The 12,438-nt window shown below is 63.7% G+C and overlaps 1 protein-coding gene, 1 long non-coding RNA gene and 1 other non-coding gene across 4 annotated transcripts in view, besides 14 other annotated features; 1 reads left to right on the forward strand and 2 right to left on the reverse strand.

Annotated features, from left to right (window-relative positions):
• NOTCH1 (notch receptor 1) overlaps positions 1-6,451 on the reverse strand; it is a 51,616-nt gene extending 45,165 nt beyond the window's left edge. Inside the window, exons 1-2 of one of the 2 annotated variants that reach the window (NM_017617.5) lie at positions 6,129-6,451; positions 4,427-4,505 (exon numbers count right to left, since the gene is read on the reverse strand). In NM_017617.5, the coding sequence (NP_060087.3) occupies positions 4,427-4,505; positions 6,129-6,189 (140 nt within the window). In that variant the 5' untranslated portion in view covers positions 6,190-6,451. Of the gene's footprint in view, positions 1-4,426; positions 4,506-6,128 lie in introns of those variants that run through there. The other variant, XM_011518717.3, reaches the window with a different exon arrangement.
• Positions 81-765: an enhancer, noted in NCBI's record as "H3K4me1 hESC enhancer chr9:139434130-139434814 (GRCh37/hg19 assembly coordinates)". NCBI's record gives its function as "activates a minimal SCP1, AML or CMV promoter by ChIP-STARR-seq in naive H9 embryonic stem cells {active_cell/tissue: H9 hESC(naive)}" and the evidence as "EXISTENCE:reporter gene assay evidence [ECO:0000049][PMID:30033119]".
• Positions 1,600-1,894: a silencer, noted in NCBI's record as "tiled region #6589; K562 Repressive non-DNase unmatched - State 14:Gen5'". NCBI's record gives its function as "represses a minimal TATA promoter and a strong SV40 promoter by Sharpr-MPRA in K562 cells {active_cell/tissue: K562}" and the evidence as "EXISTENCE:reporter gene assay evidence [ECO:0000049][PMID:27701403]".
• Positions 2,134-2,816: an enhancer, noted in NCBI's record as "H3K4me1 hESC enhancer chr9:139436183-139436865 (GRCh37/hg19 assembly coordinates)". NCBI's record gives its function as "activates a minimal SCP1, AML or CMV promoter by ChIP-STARR-seq in naive H9 embryonic stem cells {active_cell/tissue: H9 hESC(naive)}" and the evidence as "EXISTENCE:reporter gene assay evidence [ECO:0000049][PMID:30033119]".
• Positions 5,286-5,335: an enhancer, noted in NCBI's record as "active region_29314". NCBI's record gives its function as "activates an Ori minimal core promoter by ATAC-STARR-seq in GM12878 lymphoblastoid cells {active_cell/tissue: GM12878}" and the evidence as "EXISTENCE:reporter gene assay evidence [ECO:0000049][PMID:35858748]".
• Positions 5,566-5,615: a silencer, noted in NCBI's record as "silent region_20526". NCBI's record gives its function as "represses an Ori minimal core promoter by ATAC-STARR-seq in GM12878 lymphoblastoid cells {active_cell/tissue: GM12878}" and the evidence as "EXISTENCE:reporter gene assay evidence [ECO:0000049][PMID:35858748]".
• Positions 5,836-6,095: a silencer, noted in NCBI's record as "silent region_20527". NCBI's record gives its function as "represses an Ori minimal core promoter by ATAC-STARR-seq in GM12878 lymphoblastoid cells {active_cell/tissue: GM12878}" and the evidence as "EXISTENCE:reporter gene assay evidence [ECO:0000049][PMID:35858748]".
• Positions 6,116-6,675: a silencer, noted in NCBI's record as "silent region_20528". NCBI's record gives its function as "represses an Ori minimal core promoter by ATAC-STARR-seq in GM12878 lymphoblastoid cells {active_cell/tissue: GM12878}" and the evidence as "EXISTENCE:reporter gene assay evidence [ECO:0000049][PMID:35858748]".
• On the reverse strand, positions 6,576-6,662 carry MIR4674 (microRNA 4674). The gene has a single exon (NR_039821.1). It is a non-coding gene; the product is annotated as a microRNA 4674 (primary transcript).
• Positions 7,016-7,115: a silencer, noted in NCBI's record as "silent region_20529". NCBI's record gives its function as "represses an Ori minimal core promoter by ATAC-STARR-seq in GM12878 lymphoblastoid cells {active_cell/tissue: GM12878}" and the evidence as "EXISTENCE:reporter gene assay evidence [ECO:0000049][PMID:35858748]".
• Positions 7,308-8,219: an enhancer, noted in NCBI's record as "H3K27ac-H3K4me1 hESC enhancer chr9:139441357-139442268 (GRCh37/hg19 assembly coordinates)". NCBI's record gives its function as "activates a minimal SCP1, AML or CMV promoter by ChIP-STARR-seq in naive H9 embryonic stem cells {active_cell/tissue: H9 hESC(naive)}" and the evidence as "EXISTENCE:reporter gene assay evidence [ECO:0000049][PMID:30033119]".
• Positions 8,245-10,147, forward strand: NALT1 (NOTCH1 associated lncRNA in T cell acute lymphoblastic leukemia 1). The gene is made up of 3 exons (NR_121577.1): positions 8,245-8,504; positions 9,535-9,621; positions 9,949-10,147. It is a non-coding gene; the product is annotated as an NOTCH1 associated lncRNA in T cell acute lymphoblastic leukemia 1 (long non-coding RNA).
• Positions 10,044-10,955: an enhancer, noted in NCBI's record as "NANOG-H3K27ac-H3K4me1 hESC enhancer chr9:139444093-139445004 (GRCh37/hg19 assembly coordinates)". NCBI's record gives its function as "activates a minimal SCP1, AML or CMV promoter by ChIP-STARR-seq in naive H9 embryonic stem cells {active_cell/tissue: H9 hESC(naive)}" and the evidence as "EXISTENCE:reporter gene assay evidence [ECO:0000049][PMID:30033119]".
• Positions 10,044-11,867: a biological region, named in NCBI's record as "MED14-independent group 3 enhancer GRCh37_chr9:139444236-139445435".
• Positions 10,187-11,386: an enhancer, noted in NCBI's record as "MED14-independent group 3 enhancer chr9:139444236-139445435 (GRCh37/hg19 assembly coordinates)". NCBI's record gives its function as "activates an origin of replication core promoter dependent on BRD2, BRD4, P300/CBP and CDK7 cofactors, and independent of MED14, by STARR-seq in HCT116 cells {active_cell/tissue: HCT116}" and the evidence as "EXISTENCE:reporter gene assay evidence [ECO:0000049][PMID:35650434]".
• Positions 10,927-11,046: an enhancer, noted in NCBI's record as "active region_29315". NCBI's record gives its function as "activates an Ori minimal core promoter by ATAC-STARR-seq in GM12878 lymphoblastoid cells {active_cell/tissue: GM12878}" and the evidence as "EXISTENCE:reporter gene assay evidence [ECO:0000049][PMID:35858748]".
• Positions 10,956-11,867: an enhancer, noted in NCBI's record as "NANOG-H3K27ac-H3K4me1 hESC enhancer chr9:139445005-139445916 (GRCh37/hg19 assembly coordinates)". NCBI's record gives its function as "activates a minimal SCP1, AML or CMV promoter by ChIP-STARR-seq in naive and primed H9 embryonic stem cells {active_cell/tissue: H9 hESC(naive and primed)}" and the evidence as "EXISTENCE:reporter gene assay evidence [ECO:0000049][PMID:30033119]".

A 12,438-nucleotide genomic window follows, 5' to 3' on the forward strand; every position in this document is an offset into this window, starting at 1 on the left:
CAGGCTGGTCTTGAACTCCTGACCTCAGGTGATCTGCCCACCTCGGATGCTGCATGTTTTTAAACATGTTTTTCTAACCCTGGCGCCCTTGAAGACCAGGTTCTGCATAAACAGGAGGTCCTGTCACAGGCCTTTCCGCTCAGCTCAGCATGAGGAGGAGAATCAACCTGTTCCTCCCCTGGCCACGCCCAAGACGAGGCAGGTGACTCAATGGAAAGAGCCAGACCGGGTGACAGGAGCTACCCCGTCCCTCCCCAGCCTCCCAGGCCGGCTGCAGGGCCAAGTCACTTCCCGCCTGAGCCTCCTTCCTCTTCTTTTAAGGGGAAGCCACGCCCCCAGTCCGCTTGTAGTCGGGAAATGACGGGGCAGCTCAGGCTGGCTGGGGCTGTGTTTAGGGACATTCGCTTGGGAGAAGGAGAGGGGCAGGGCTAGTAGGAATTCTGCCACTGCTGTGTGACCCTGGGGCTGATGGCGACTTCTCTGGGTCTCTTCTTCTCACTTATCGGTGCCTGATCCAGACAGCTTTACGGGGCTGCCGGGAGCTATGCCAGGCCACCACCGGGCCGGCACACCCCCAACATGTCCCACATGTGAGCTAGGTGCCTCTCTCACGCCTTGCTGGGAAGTGAACTCCACAGGAGCAGGGGCCATGTCTGCCCTGTCCCCACCGGGGGCCTGGCCTGGAGCAGAACGCAGCACACAGCAGGCGCTCAAACGTGTCTGTGAACTGGAGCCACCCTGGGAGATGGACTTCCCCGGAGCTGGAGCCATCCTGGGAGATGGACTTCCCCAGAGCCGGCAAGTCCCTCCCCAGGCAGTGCCAGGCCCAGCCCACCAGGCAGCACCTTTAGGATTCTCTGAATTCACTCGTCAATCAATTAAACATTCAGGAAGGAGGCTCTGGAAACCAGCACTGTCAGCCAACGGGGAGAAGGCGGGGAAGAAAGGAGCGCTGACCAGGTGCCCTCTCCACACGGTTCTCATGCAATCCTCACACACCACCAAGAGATCCAGCGTGTATCAGCCCGGCTGACATGCTGGGGAAACTGAGGCTTGCATGACCTGATGACCCAAGGTCACAGAGCTAGTGGCCAGGCCAGGCCTCAGACACGAGGTTGTCCAAAGCTAAAGCGCACCACCCAGCAGGCAGCTGGACATCCTCCTGGAGGTGCTGGGTGTGACAGCCTACCCCCATTTCTCCCAGCTCCTGGAAGACGCCCCGTGCCATTCTGACTCTGCCGTCAGCAGCCAACATCTTAGCTGCCCCCTGCCTCAACGCCCAGCCCAGACGCAGGCAGCCCTGGGAGAGCGTTTCAGACCAAGGACGTAGTCTCACCCAGACAGATAGGGTCCCTGCAGCTCTTCCCAGCTCTCCTCAAAACAAAGAGAAAAAAGGTGGAGCCCTCTTCAGTACCCCTTGCTCACACTGACGGAGCTGATGAGGGGGCTAGAGAAGAGCCAAGGGCCACAGTGACCCCCTGGGCCTGCTCAGAAGGCCACCATCTCCGACCACAGCCACCACGGCCACACCTCGCACAGCAGCTGCCCAGAGACCAACCATCCTCCGCCCACCAGCATGTGCTGCCAGGTGCTTTCTACCTGGCCACTGGCTGACCAGGCCACGGCGACACTCTGACCTCCTGGGAAGGCATTTTGCACCAACAAAACCACTTTTTCCAATCCCGGGCCCTGCAACCACCTGATTGGCAGCTTCCGGTGAAGGTTCCTTCTCTTTGGGATGGAAAGAAATGATTCACCCAGTACTAGTGAGCCAGGCACTGTGACGCCCATCATGACCATGCCCCTTCTACAGCGGAGGCAGCAAATGGCACCAAAAGCCAAAGCTCTTTCCGGGGTCACAGCTGGATACCACGGGGCCAGGATTCCCACTCAGGCTGGCAGGGCTCCAAGAGCCTGCACCCCAGACTCTTTCGAGAAACAGTGTGGGTTTCTCCCCTTGCTGGGGGAGCCAGGCCTCCTGCAGGTGCCCTGGCTAACTCCTGGACAGACCTCCTGGGCCTTCTGAGAAGGATGGGCAGGAACGGGAAGGCAGAGGCACCTGAGGGGTGTATGTTGGGTGGGGCTCAAGCCCAGGGAGGGAGCCCGGGGCCTTCTCCGAAGCGGCTGCAATGTCCCCCAGACTGCTGTGTGAGCCCTGACCTGTGCCTCCACAAGCCGGGCTCGGCTGTGGCCCTGGCCTCCAACTCTGCGGCCCAGAAGCAGGAGCCTGAGGACGCGCTTCCGTCCCATCTTCTCGTTGGACTTGTGGGGTGTGCACAATGGGGTCTCTGTGGGCTGAGCTCGGCTGCCTGTCAGGCCAAACTGAAGCAGGCTTCCCGCCAAGAAGGAGGGGGCGCCAGGCCCCAGCAAAGGGGACAAGGCCAGGCACCAAAGCCATGGTCGGCGGCCTGCCTTGGGCTGGAAACAGCTCACCGGGATCCCAGGTTTGGGGAATGGGAAAGTGGGCCCATGACACCAGTGTTTTGCGGCCCTGTGGCAGGGTTTTAACCCAGACACCAGGGAGCTGCAGCAATCTGTACCCCAAAGCACAGCGCTCTGGCCCAGGGAGACCTCAGTCCCAGACCCCTGTGGGCCAGGCTGTGCCTACTCCCTGGTGCCACTGAGAAGAAGCAACAGGCCCCCAATTTTCCCAGCACGGTGTTCCTCCCACCCTCCCAAAGTCCTCTGCAGGAGCAAGAAGCTTCTCCCAGAGCCCCGAATGGGTGAGAGGCAAAGTCCGAGCCGGGAGCGCAGTGGCGGGGAAGGGGGTTATACATTCTGGGAAGCCACGCATAATTAATCACACGGCATTAATCCGCCTCCCCCAACAATAGCTGCTGCACTTCCCCTGGATCCCAGCTGTCGGTCTCTGAATGAAAGGAAACAAGATTTAGGGCATCAAGCGTCCGTGCGGCTTCTGCAGAGGGAGAAGGGGGCCCCAAAAAGCAAAAAAAAAAAAAAAAAAAAAAGTAGTGCGCATTCATTAGTGTCTGACAAAGACACAATCGGCTTTGTCCATTAAACTGCTCACAGACCTGCTTAATTGGCTTCAGTTTGGGGAGGGTGGGGGCCGGGGAGGGAGGGGGCCTGCTGCCCACAGGCTGGGCAGTCGGCACAGGCAGGAGCCGGGCTGGGGTTGTCAAGGGAATGGGACCTTCTGCAGTTGGAATGAGGGCGCGCAGACTGGCTGGGGAGCCATTTCTTCATCTGTAGCTCCTGGGGGGCGGAGGGAACTCTTTTTCCAGACACCAAACACCTCCTCATTATTCTCATCAGGGATGGACTCAAGTTGAAGGGCATCGGCCACAGCAGAACAGTTCCCCACGGCTGATGGGCACTCACAGGCAGGCAGGAGGGAGCGGTTCCGCACGACTTCCCGGCCCCCTCAGTGCCCATTTTACATCTGAGGCTGGCAGACCAGAAGGGCCACGGGATTTTGAGGTCAGAGTTTGCAGATGCCAGGACAGAAACCAGACTCAATAATTACCCCACACCCCACGCCAAAACATGAGTTCCACCTTCTCTTCCCCAGCCCCAGCCTGAGGCCGGGAAGAGGGAGCTGGGGCAAACAGAGAGCCCAAAGGCGGGTCCGATTTTGAAGAGTCAATTTCCTTTGAAGAGGCATCACCCACCCGGAGGTGGCATCACCTGCCCAGGAAGTATCACCTGTGCCTAGAGGAGGCATCACCCGCCTAGAGGAGGTATCACCACCCAGAGGAGGCATCACCCACCTAGAGGAGGTATCACCACCCAGAGGAGGCATCACCCACCCAGGAGGTGGCATCACCCGTGCCCAGAGGAGGCATCACGCACCCAGAGGAGGCATCACCCGCCCAGGAGGTGGCATCACCTGTGCCCAGAGGAGGCATTGCCGCCAGCCCAGGAGGCATCACGCACCCAGAGGAGGCATCACCCGCCCAGGAGGTGGCATCACCTGTGCCAGAGGAGGCATCACTACCAGCCCAAGAGGCATCACCACCCACCTAGGAGGCATCACCCCCGAGAGGAGGCATCACCTGTGCCCAGGAGGCATCACCCGCCCAGAGGAGGCGCCCCAAGTTGGCAGGGTGGTGGGGGCTGGGCCTCTCAGTAAATGGTCCAGAGCTTCCCCTGGCAGATCAACTGTTTCTTGGGGACTTAAAGAAGAATTGGGGTACTGGGACTCCCACTTAGTGACCCCGGAGCCTGAGGTGGCCCACGGAGGAGTGCCCAAGCCCTCAGCAGCCAGACCAGCTCCACACGCAGCATAATTGCTGGTGATTAAGTAATTGCCAGACTTTGTCCAATAAAAGTCAGCACGTGACCGTGCCCAGACTCTGGGCCATCTCCAGAAGACAATGGCCTAGTGTTCTGTCCCCTGCGCGGCTGCAGAAGGCAGGGGCTCTGCCCTCGACAAAGCAACAGGTCCCGCAGGGGTGGTACTCACACGCAGGCCTCCGTGCCATTGGCCGCTTCACACTTCCCGCCATTCAGGCAGGTCTCACCGGGCTGGGAGCATCGCGGGCCTAGGCAGGGGCAGGAGAAGAGAGGTCAGTCTCACCCGCACCACCACCACCGAAGGCCCTGGTTACCCTGGGGGCGGGGACCTGCACCCAGCCAAGGGGCATCGTCCGCCCCCTACCCCGGACGCACTCTGCTCAGTATCATGGGTTGCTGGGGCACGGGTCCGCAGGAAGCCCCTCCATGAAACCAAAGGGGCGTCAACATTCTGCCCAGAGTTCTGTAGTCAGAAATGGGGGGAAGGGGAGCAGCAGGGAACACGTCCTGCTTGAAGCAGGGTGGGGTGGCCTGATGTGCCGCCTGGACGCAGTGGGGGAAAAGCAGAGACAAAGTGGGCTACTCTCCAAAGCGTTGCCCCCCACCCTGGAGGCTCACTGAGGAGTCTGGCAGGGCAGGGCCCCCCATCCAGCCGCCGAGATTGCCTCTGTTCAAACCCGTTCTGCAAGGGGGCAGAGCTGGACGGGGGGAGGGGGGGTGGCCACACTCAGCTCCCGCCCGTGGGAAAATGCGACAGCTGCTCGCCCGCTACCCCGCCCGCCAACAAAGCGCCGGCCTCCGCCTCAGAATCAGAGCGGCCCATTGTGGAGTCGGGGCCGCCTCCAGGGGCACCGGGACAGCACCCTGGGGACGCGGCCCCGCCTCCGCCGACACCCAATACCTGCCTCCGCGGGCGCGCATCTCCAGGGCAGCCCCCATACACCCACAGGAGGGGGATGAAGGTCCCCCATTCGGAAGGAATTCGACCCCATCTCGAGAAGGGATCAATTACTCAAGCCCCTCCCTCCCCATCTTACCGGGGCTGAGAAACGGGGGAGGGGGGTGTGACACAGAGCCGCACTTTCTGGAAGAGGACAGATAATTCTCGCCTCCAACTCTCGGAGAAAGAGTGGATTAATCACTCGATTCCCCAGAGACCCCGCTCGCTGTGCGGCGGGGAGAAATGTAAGAGCCCCCCACCCGCGTCCCGCTCTCCGCCCCCAAGCTTTCCAAACTTCAACTCCGCAAAGCAAAAGGAAAGTTCAGTCCCCCCGGGCGCGGCGGCTTCTTACGCAACCCCTCCCCCAAACTGAGAGCCGGGCTGGGGGGCACCGGCGGGCGGGGCGACCGGGAGCCCGGGGACCCAGCCCGGCCGCGCGGGTCAGTGAAGGCGAACGCGGCGCCGCAGAGCCCACACTCCGCGCCCCAACATCCGCCCCGGCGTGGGCCAGAGGCGAAGAAGAAAGAAGATAAATGGCCCGGAGAAGCAACAGGAAACCAAAACCGACTCTATTCAAATCGAAAAATAGTAGGCAGCCCGCCCGCCCGGCCGACCGGCGGCAAGCCCCACGCGCGGCGGGTGAAGGGCGGGCCCGGAGTAGGGCCTCCGGGGCCCCAGCACCCCACACCGGCCTCCTAACTCGGCTCCAGGCACGGGCGGCGCGAGTCCGCCTCCACGGGGGGATCGAGGGGGAAGGTCGGTCCTCCCTGATCCCGGGACTCCAGAACCCCACGCCCCGGGCCGCCCGCTTTTCCCTCTCCATGCTGGCCTCCCCGCCGCCCGCTCCCAGCCGTGGGGCGCGCGCGCCGGGCGCCGCCAAAGTTTCCAAAGGGCGCGGAAAGTGGGGGCTCGCGGGTGGGTGGGCGCCTACCTCGTGCGGCGAGCGCGGGCAGCAGCGCCAGGCAGAGCAGGGGCGCCAGGAGCGGCGGCATGCCTCCCCACCGGCTGCCCTCTGCGCCCGGGCGGCGGCCTCCTGCGCTGGCCGGCGGGGCTGGGACGCACACGCGCGGCGTACGGTCCCGGGGCGGCGGCGGACGGTCCCGCCCTCTCTTCCCCGGCTGGCTGGCGGCGCTGTGCTCTCGCAGGCCCCCGGGCCCGGCTCCGCGCCCGGCTCGTTCCTTCGCTGCGCTCGCGCCCGCGCCCGCGCCCCGCGCCCCGCGCCCTTGCGCTCCCTCCCGCGGCCGAGGCACTAGTGAGGCTCAGAGTCGAGGTGCGCTCCGCCCCCGCCGGCCCCGCCCCGCCCGGCCCCACCCCCGCCGGTCCCCCCGCCCCCTCCGCGGCCACCTCCTCCCGCACGCCCCGTCCGCCTTTGCGCCTCCCCGAGCTGAGCCGCGCGTCCCGAGCCCAGCCTCTCCGGGGAGGAGGGACCCGGCGGCGCGGCGTGGGTCGGGAGCGGGCGCCTGGGACTACTTCTCGTTTGAAAGTTTTCAGAGGCCAAAAGTTTGAGCCGGGGCTGCGGAAGGATCCGGCTCTGGCGGTTGCCGCGCTCGGCGACAACTGGCGACTGAAATTTGCATGTGAATAAGCGGAGGAGCCCGGGGCGGAATGGGGAGGGCGAGGCCGCGGACAGCCGTGTGCACCGTGCGCTGGGCCGGGCGGGGAGCAGCTGAGGCCACGTTGGGGGACCCCGGGCCCGGGGCAGGGCTCTGGGAGAGTGGCCTAGCCGTGTGTGCGCCCCTAGCCCAGCGGCTTCACTCCCTCCCGAGGGCCCCGTGGCCGCGGCTTTAGGCGTCCAGAGGATCGATCGCCGCCAGACATCCCTGGCCGTGATTGCCCGAGCACTTGACCGCGAGGGATGGGGGCGCCGCGGCCTCTGGGCAGGGGACTCCGGGCGCCCCGAGGGAGCAGCCGGGACCAGTGCCTCGCGGACGGATTGTGCCCCGCTCCCCCAAGGGGGACCCGCGTCGACACGCTCCTCGGTCACCGTCCTCCTCCTGCCCGGGCGCCGCCTGCCTAAGGTGGCCCCAGAAAGCACAAACGGGTCGGGCGGATCTGCCGCTGGCGCCGGCGCAGCCCTTCCCACGTGCTCCTTCCGGCTGATTTATTTCTCCACCACGATGCCAGGCACGGGCACCCTGTGCCAAGCCTGGTTAAGCGCCAGGAGTCCAAAATGCCTGCCATAGTCCCTGCGCAAAGTTCACGGCCTCGTGCCAGGGACAGACAGCGCCCCCTCCCCACCCCAACACAGGGTGGTGAGTGCGATGGCAGAAGGCGCGTGTCCCGGCGCCCCTCCTGGAGTAGGAGGGCTAAGCCTGCCCTGCGGGGAGACCGAAAGGCTGGGAGGGACCTAGGACTGTGGGGGCCTGGGGGGAGGGCTGCAGAAACCCCAGAGCATGGTGGCAGAGGCAGGCACAGAAAGCAGGACAAATCTCACACCTGACCCCAGCAAGCCTTTCCTGGCACACCTCTTGCCAAATGCTGAGCACTCTGGAAACAGCCAGTGCAGGCGGCCTGTCCCGCCCCTGTAGCTGCTGCTGGGAGCCTCCCTCGCCTGCGTCCTCCCAGAATCTGGCCTCACTTCTGCAGGCCTGGGGTAACATCTTGGGGTCAGCGCCCCAGGAGAGGAGGCGCCTGGAGGCAGCAGAGATGTTTATGTAACAGCAGCCAGGCAGCCTGGAGGAGCAGATTTTCCATAGAAGGAAGCGCGGGGCTGTGCAGCTCCCAGGCTGAGGACTCTGCCCACCACGACGTCCTCTGCTCCTGGTGGGTGGGGGTGGGGTGGGGCATAGGGAGGCCCGAAGGCCTCAGGCCTGGTGCTGATCGGGTGCGGGTGCGACTGCCTGTGTGCCTCCATTGGCATCTCTGCCTGTGGGCCCCAGGCCAGAAGTAATGGCCCATGTAGCCCAGGCCCGGGGGCCAGTCCTCAGCATTTTGCGGAGGGGCGGCCTGGGAGGGGAGGAGGGGATCCCTGGATAGGGGGTCTCCCCTGGTCTGCCCCAGCTGTGCCGACAGCACCTCCACCTTGGGCCTCCATCCTCTACCAGCAGAGAAGAGAGTGGCCCATTCGGTGTCCACCCGTCAGGCCACCCAGCAGCCAGGCACGCTCATAAGCCCGCGTTACGGATGGTGCGGCCGGGTGCACAGGCCCGAGGGAAGCACAGGCCTCGGCCTCCCAGCTCCCAACCCCTGCACCACCCACAGCCGGGAGTACCCCATGGACAGCTGTGGCCGAGGAGAAGCCAGGGATGAGGGGGATGGGCCTCACCTCCCCACCAGCCTGGGAAGGGGGTAGGCCCCTGGCAAGTAGGTGAGAAGCTTTTTCATTCACAAGTTGTCCGGGCTCCCCATTCCTCTTTGTCAGGCCAGCGGGTGTGGGCAGTCGGGGGAGGCTGGGGTCCTGACACAACAGGAGTACATCTGCTGGCCTAGGGCCTGGAGACCTTCTCCTACAGGTCGGGAGGCAGCCCTGGGCAGCGGGCATTGCGGGGACTAAAGAGAAACAAGAGCAGGTTGTGTGCAGGGCACCCCAGCCACTCCAGAAACCCAATGGGAGGGTGGGGGCTAGGACCCCAAGAAGCTGAATTGGGGTGCAGTGCCGCCAGGCCTCCCCTGTAGGAGTCACTTTGGGCTTCCTGTCCCAACTTGTGGTGGGAGCTGGGGCAAGGTTCCAGGGGTACCCCGAATGAATGGGGCTGTTCCCAAGCTGGCCAGGGAGCCTGGAAGCAGATGAGATGGGGCCGCAGAGCCTGGTTTGCGGAGGGGAGAGGCAGACGTGTCCTGCAGCCCTCTCTTCTTCAGAGGCCCCCTGCGGGTGCTGAGGGGAGAGTGGCTTAGGCGTTGCACCCCAGGAGACTGAACTGGGTCAGTTCCCCCTTGTTTGCTGCCAGAGAAATGGGGGTACCATTGTCAGGGTGAGCTAAGGAGGCCCTGCTGACATTGGCCCAACCAGGCCCCTCCTTTGCGGCTGCTGTGGGGACTTTCGAGAGCAGAGCACACCCCTAAGTGCGTGGAGAGGTAAGCACAGCTGGTGAGCACACGGGGACAGCGACGGAGCTCATGGAGACCCAGGTGACCTTAAAACACCCCAGGGCCGGCTCCGGCCCCAGAGAGATGTGGTCCGAGTAGAGGGGGGTCAGCAGTGACCTGGTGGGTGGGTGTATTTGAGGGGTGCCTGTGTTGAAAGCTCTGCAGTAGATTCTAAGGAGCAGCCAGGGCTGAGACTCCCGGTGCTGAGCCCAAGGCCCCTTTCCTTCCTGCAGGAGTTCATCTTGGCTCTTGCAGCCCCCATGACCCTGTGGCGCTGGGGGGCGGCTAGCATGATGCTCCCCATTTTTCAGGAGGGAAGCTGAGGCTCAGAGACATCATGAGGATGCCAGCTCAAGGCCCAGCCAGGCCTTGGTCCTCAGCTGCTGTCATCCAGTAGGGTAAGTGGGACCCCCAGGAGGTGTTGGGGGACACTCCTCCCCTCCCCCACACTCACAGTCTGTTCACCGCCCAAGGCAGCAGGCTGGACTCGGTGCAGGGACCATGGCTTGGCGTGGCCAGGTTGGAGTGGCCCCTGGGACTGAAAGCAGGGGGCGTGGGGGCTCTGAGGCGGGGCCGAGTGCGGGGACGTCCTGTGGCGGGTACCCTGCTGGGTCCTGGGTGGGGGCCACCACCAGGCAGCTGTGGGAACATTCCAGACCACCTAGGAGTAGGGCCCCTTCACCGTTTGAAGCTGACTGTAAAAAACATCTGACCTGTGTGCAAAGCTCAAGCCCAGAGGCCTCCAGGGTGTCCAGCCTCCAGGGTGCCTCCTACGCAGCCTCCACGTCCCCATCCACTGCAGCCCCTGACCATCGGGCACACCGTGGGGCCTTCGCTGGCCGCCGGGCCTCAGGTTCTGCTGCACCAAGTGATTTTTAAAGCCCCATCTGCCTTTCTCCACTTATAAAGAACTTGGGACATTTCCTCGAGGTTGGGCATTTTTCCAGATGTGGTTTCAGTGTCTCGCTTGCTACCTGGTCCCCTGTGCTGGGCGGTCCGCTGTGACGCACCTGGCAGTCCTTGCTCTAGGATGGATTCGGGCCGGCCCTTGTTCTGAGAACAGAGAACGGCCCTTGTTCTGAGGAGGCTGGGGTCTGGAATCTGCTTCCTGGTCCCCTGCTGTGTGCAGACAGCCACCGTCACCCAGGCCCAGGGGTGCCTGCAGGTGCTGGGCATCTCACCCTGGCCCCCACAGGGGCTCCCCATGCCCTGCACCCCTCGGTCTGTGCCGGGGACTTCCCTGCTCTGCTGTTGCAGGCCTCGTCCTTTGCCGAGGGGGTCTCTTTCCCACGTGTCCCTGAGACTCCTCAGCCATCCCAGAGGCTCTCGGCCGTCTGAGCACCCCTGACCATGAAGCCTTCCTGGCCCACTCTCTGTGTGTGAGGCAGAGCCCATCCCTACCATTCCGACCCACACCAGAGGCTCCGGAAGGTTTGCTGACTGACCTGTGACTGCAAGAAGCTGAAGGAATGTGGGCGCAGACCCGGCAGGGGCTTTTCTTGGTGCAAAGTCAACTGGCTGTCCATGCAAGCCTGCTGCTGTGGCCAGCCCTCCCGCCAGGCGCCTGGTACCCTCCCTGGACCCAGTTGCCAGGACAGTGATCCCCAGCTGTGGCCAGGACTCTGCCCGGGGCCCTGTCTACTCAGTGTCTCCAGTGGTCCCCATGCAGAAACTGCCCCCCTTGCTGCCCATGAGGCATGGGATAGGGTCAGCATCCGAGAGGCAGGCCCTGCTGTTCCCCTCTGCACAGAGGCTGGGGGAGTGAGTTGCCCGGGCAAGTCCCCGGGCAGGCACTGGGCCTCCTGAGCAGGTGAGCTGAGAAGGCCCCAGCTGGTGTAGGCCTCGAGAGCTGCAGGACTGGCCATGGGGCAGACCTGGCATTGTCATTCTAGAGCTGGGCCTGGGGGGTGGCTGGTGCAGTGCAGATCTCAGGTGGAGGCCACCTGCCCGTCCTTTCCACGTGGCTCAGGGCTCAGACCCACCTGCCTGTCCCTGGAAGCCCCTAGACTGCTCAGAGCACAGACCTCAGTGGGAAAGACAGTAGATAGGCCTGGGTATGGTCTCCCAGCCCTGAGAAGTGGGGAGCCCACTCAGACCTTTCCAGGACCCCAGGTCCCCTCAGCAGCCCACAGAGCGTGGGTGGAGCCTGGGCTGGGGTTGGGTCACTTGGGAGCCAAAGGCCCATTTCTGCTGCTTCCAGGGAGTCCCAGGGAGACGGCAGAGGCAGTGCCTGGCTGGGGCCCTGGTTGGCGTGCCGTTTGAGGGGTGCATGCACTGGGAAGTTGGCCAGGCCTGCCCAAATCAGGGGGCTTCCAGGAGGAGAGACATCAGGAGGATGGGCACAGAGGCGGCTTAGCACCAGGGCTGGCACCTCCAGGTAGGGGCTGTGGGGGGCTGGACCAGACAGGGAGGCTGTCACGATGCCTGGCTGTTGGATGGGGGCACAGAGGCTCTGAGTGGGGTGGCAGAGCTTGGCCACCAGGTCCATCTGCACCCCCCATGCCCCCTCACTACCCCCAGACCCCCATGATCCCAAACTACTCAGTCCCAGGGACCCCTGCAGAGCCTGTGGTGGGGGTGATCTTCCACCCTGCCTGGCCCCTGCCCACCTCACCTCAGAACTTTCTCCAAAAAGTAAGAGCCCCGGGGGACGAAACTTCGAGGCTCCACCCCTTGGGCTCTGGTACAAACCCCGAGCCTCCTCCGAGGGCTGAGTCACTGGGAAAGCCGGGATGGGCTGGCCCCTCCCCCTCCCTCTCCTTCCTTCCTCCTTCCCCCTTTCTCGGTCTCCCTCTTTTTCTCTTTGCTTTACTTCTCTTTCTTGCCTCCCTCTCTCCCTCTCTTCTTTCGTTCCTTTCATCTTCTTCCCTTCCTCCGTCTTTGCCTTTCTTCTTTTCTGAGGGTAAAAATAGCTGGAAAACCCCCTTAAAAAAGTTTATTTTAATCTTAGAGGGACAATGTTGGTGTCCCAAAGCACAGTCCTTTGCCCCGGAGGAGCCACCGGCAGAGCCAGGAGCCCCTGAAGGACTTTGACCACACCCCCCACCCCACCCCGACCTGTGCCTGGTGCCCCAAGTGGAGCCTGGGCCATCCTTGACCTCACCGCTGGGGTGATGGAGAAGCAGCCGCCCGAGGCGAGAGTTTCTCAGGTGGCCGGGGTTTCCCCCCATTTGCTCCAGACACATTTAAACAAGCTGAGAACTTCCGTCCCCCCA

Source organism: Homo sapiens, chromosome 9 (genome assembly GCF_000001405.40).
Source record: "Homo sapiens chromosome 9, GRCh38.p14 Primary Assembly".
NCBI lineage: Eukaryota > Metazoa > Chordata > Mammalia > Primates > Hominidae > Homo > Homo sapiens.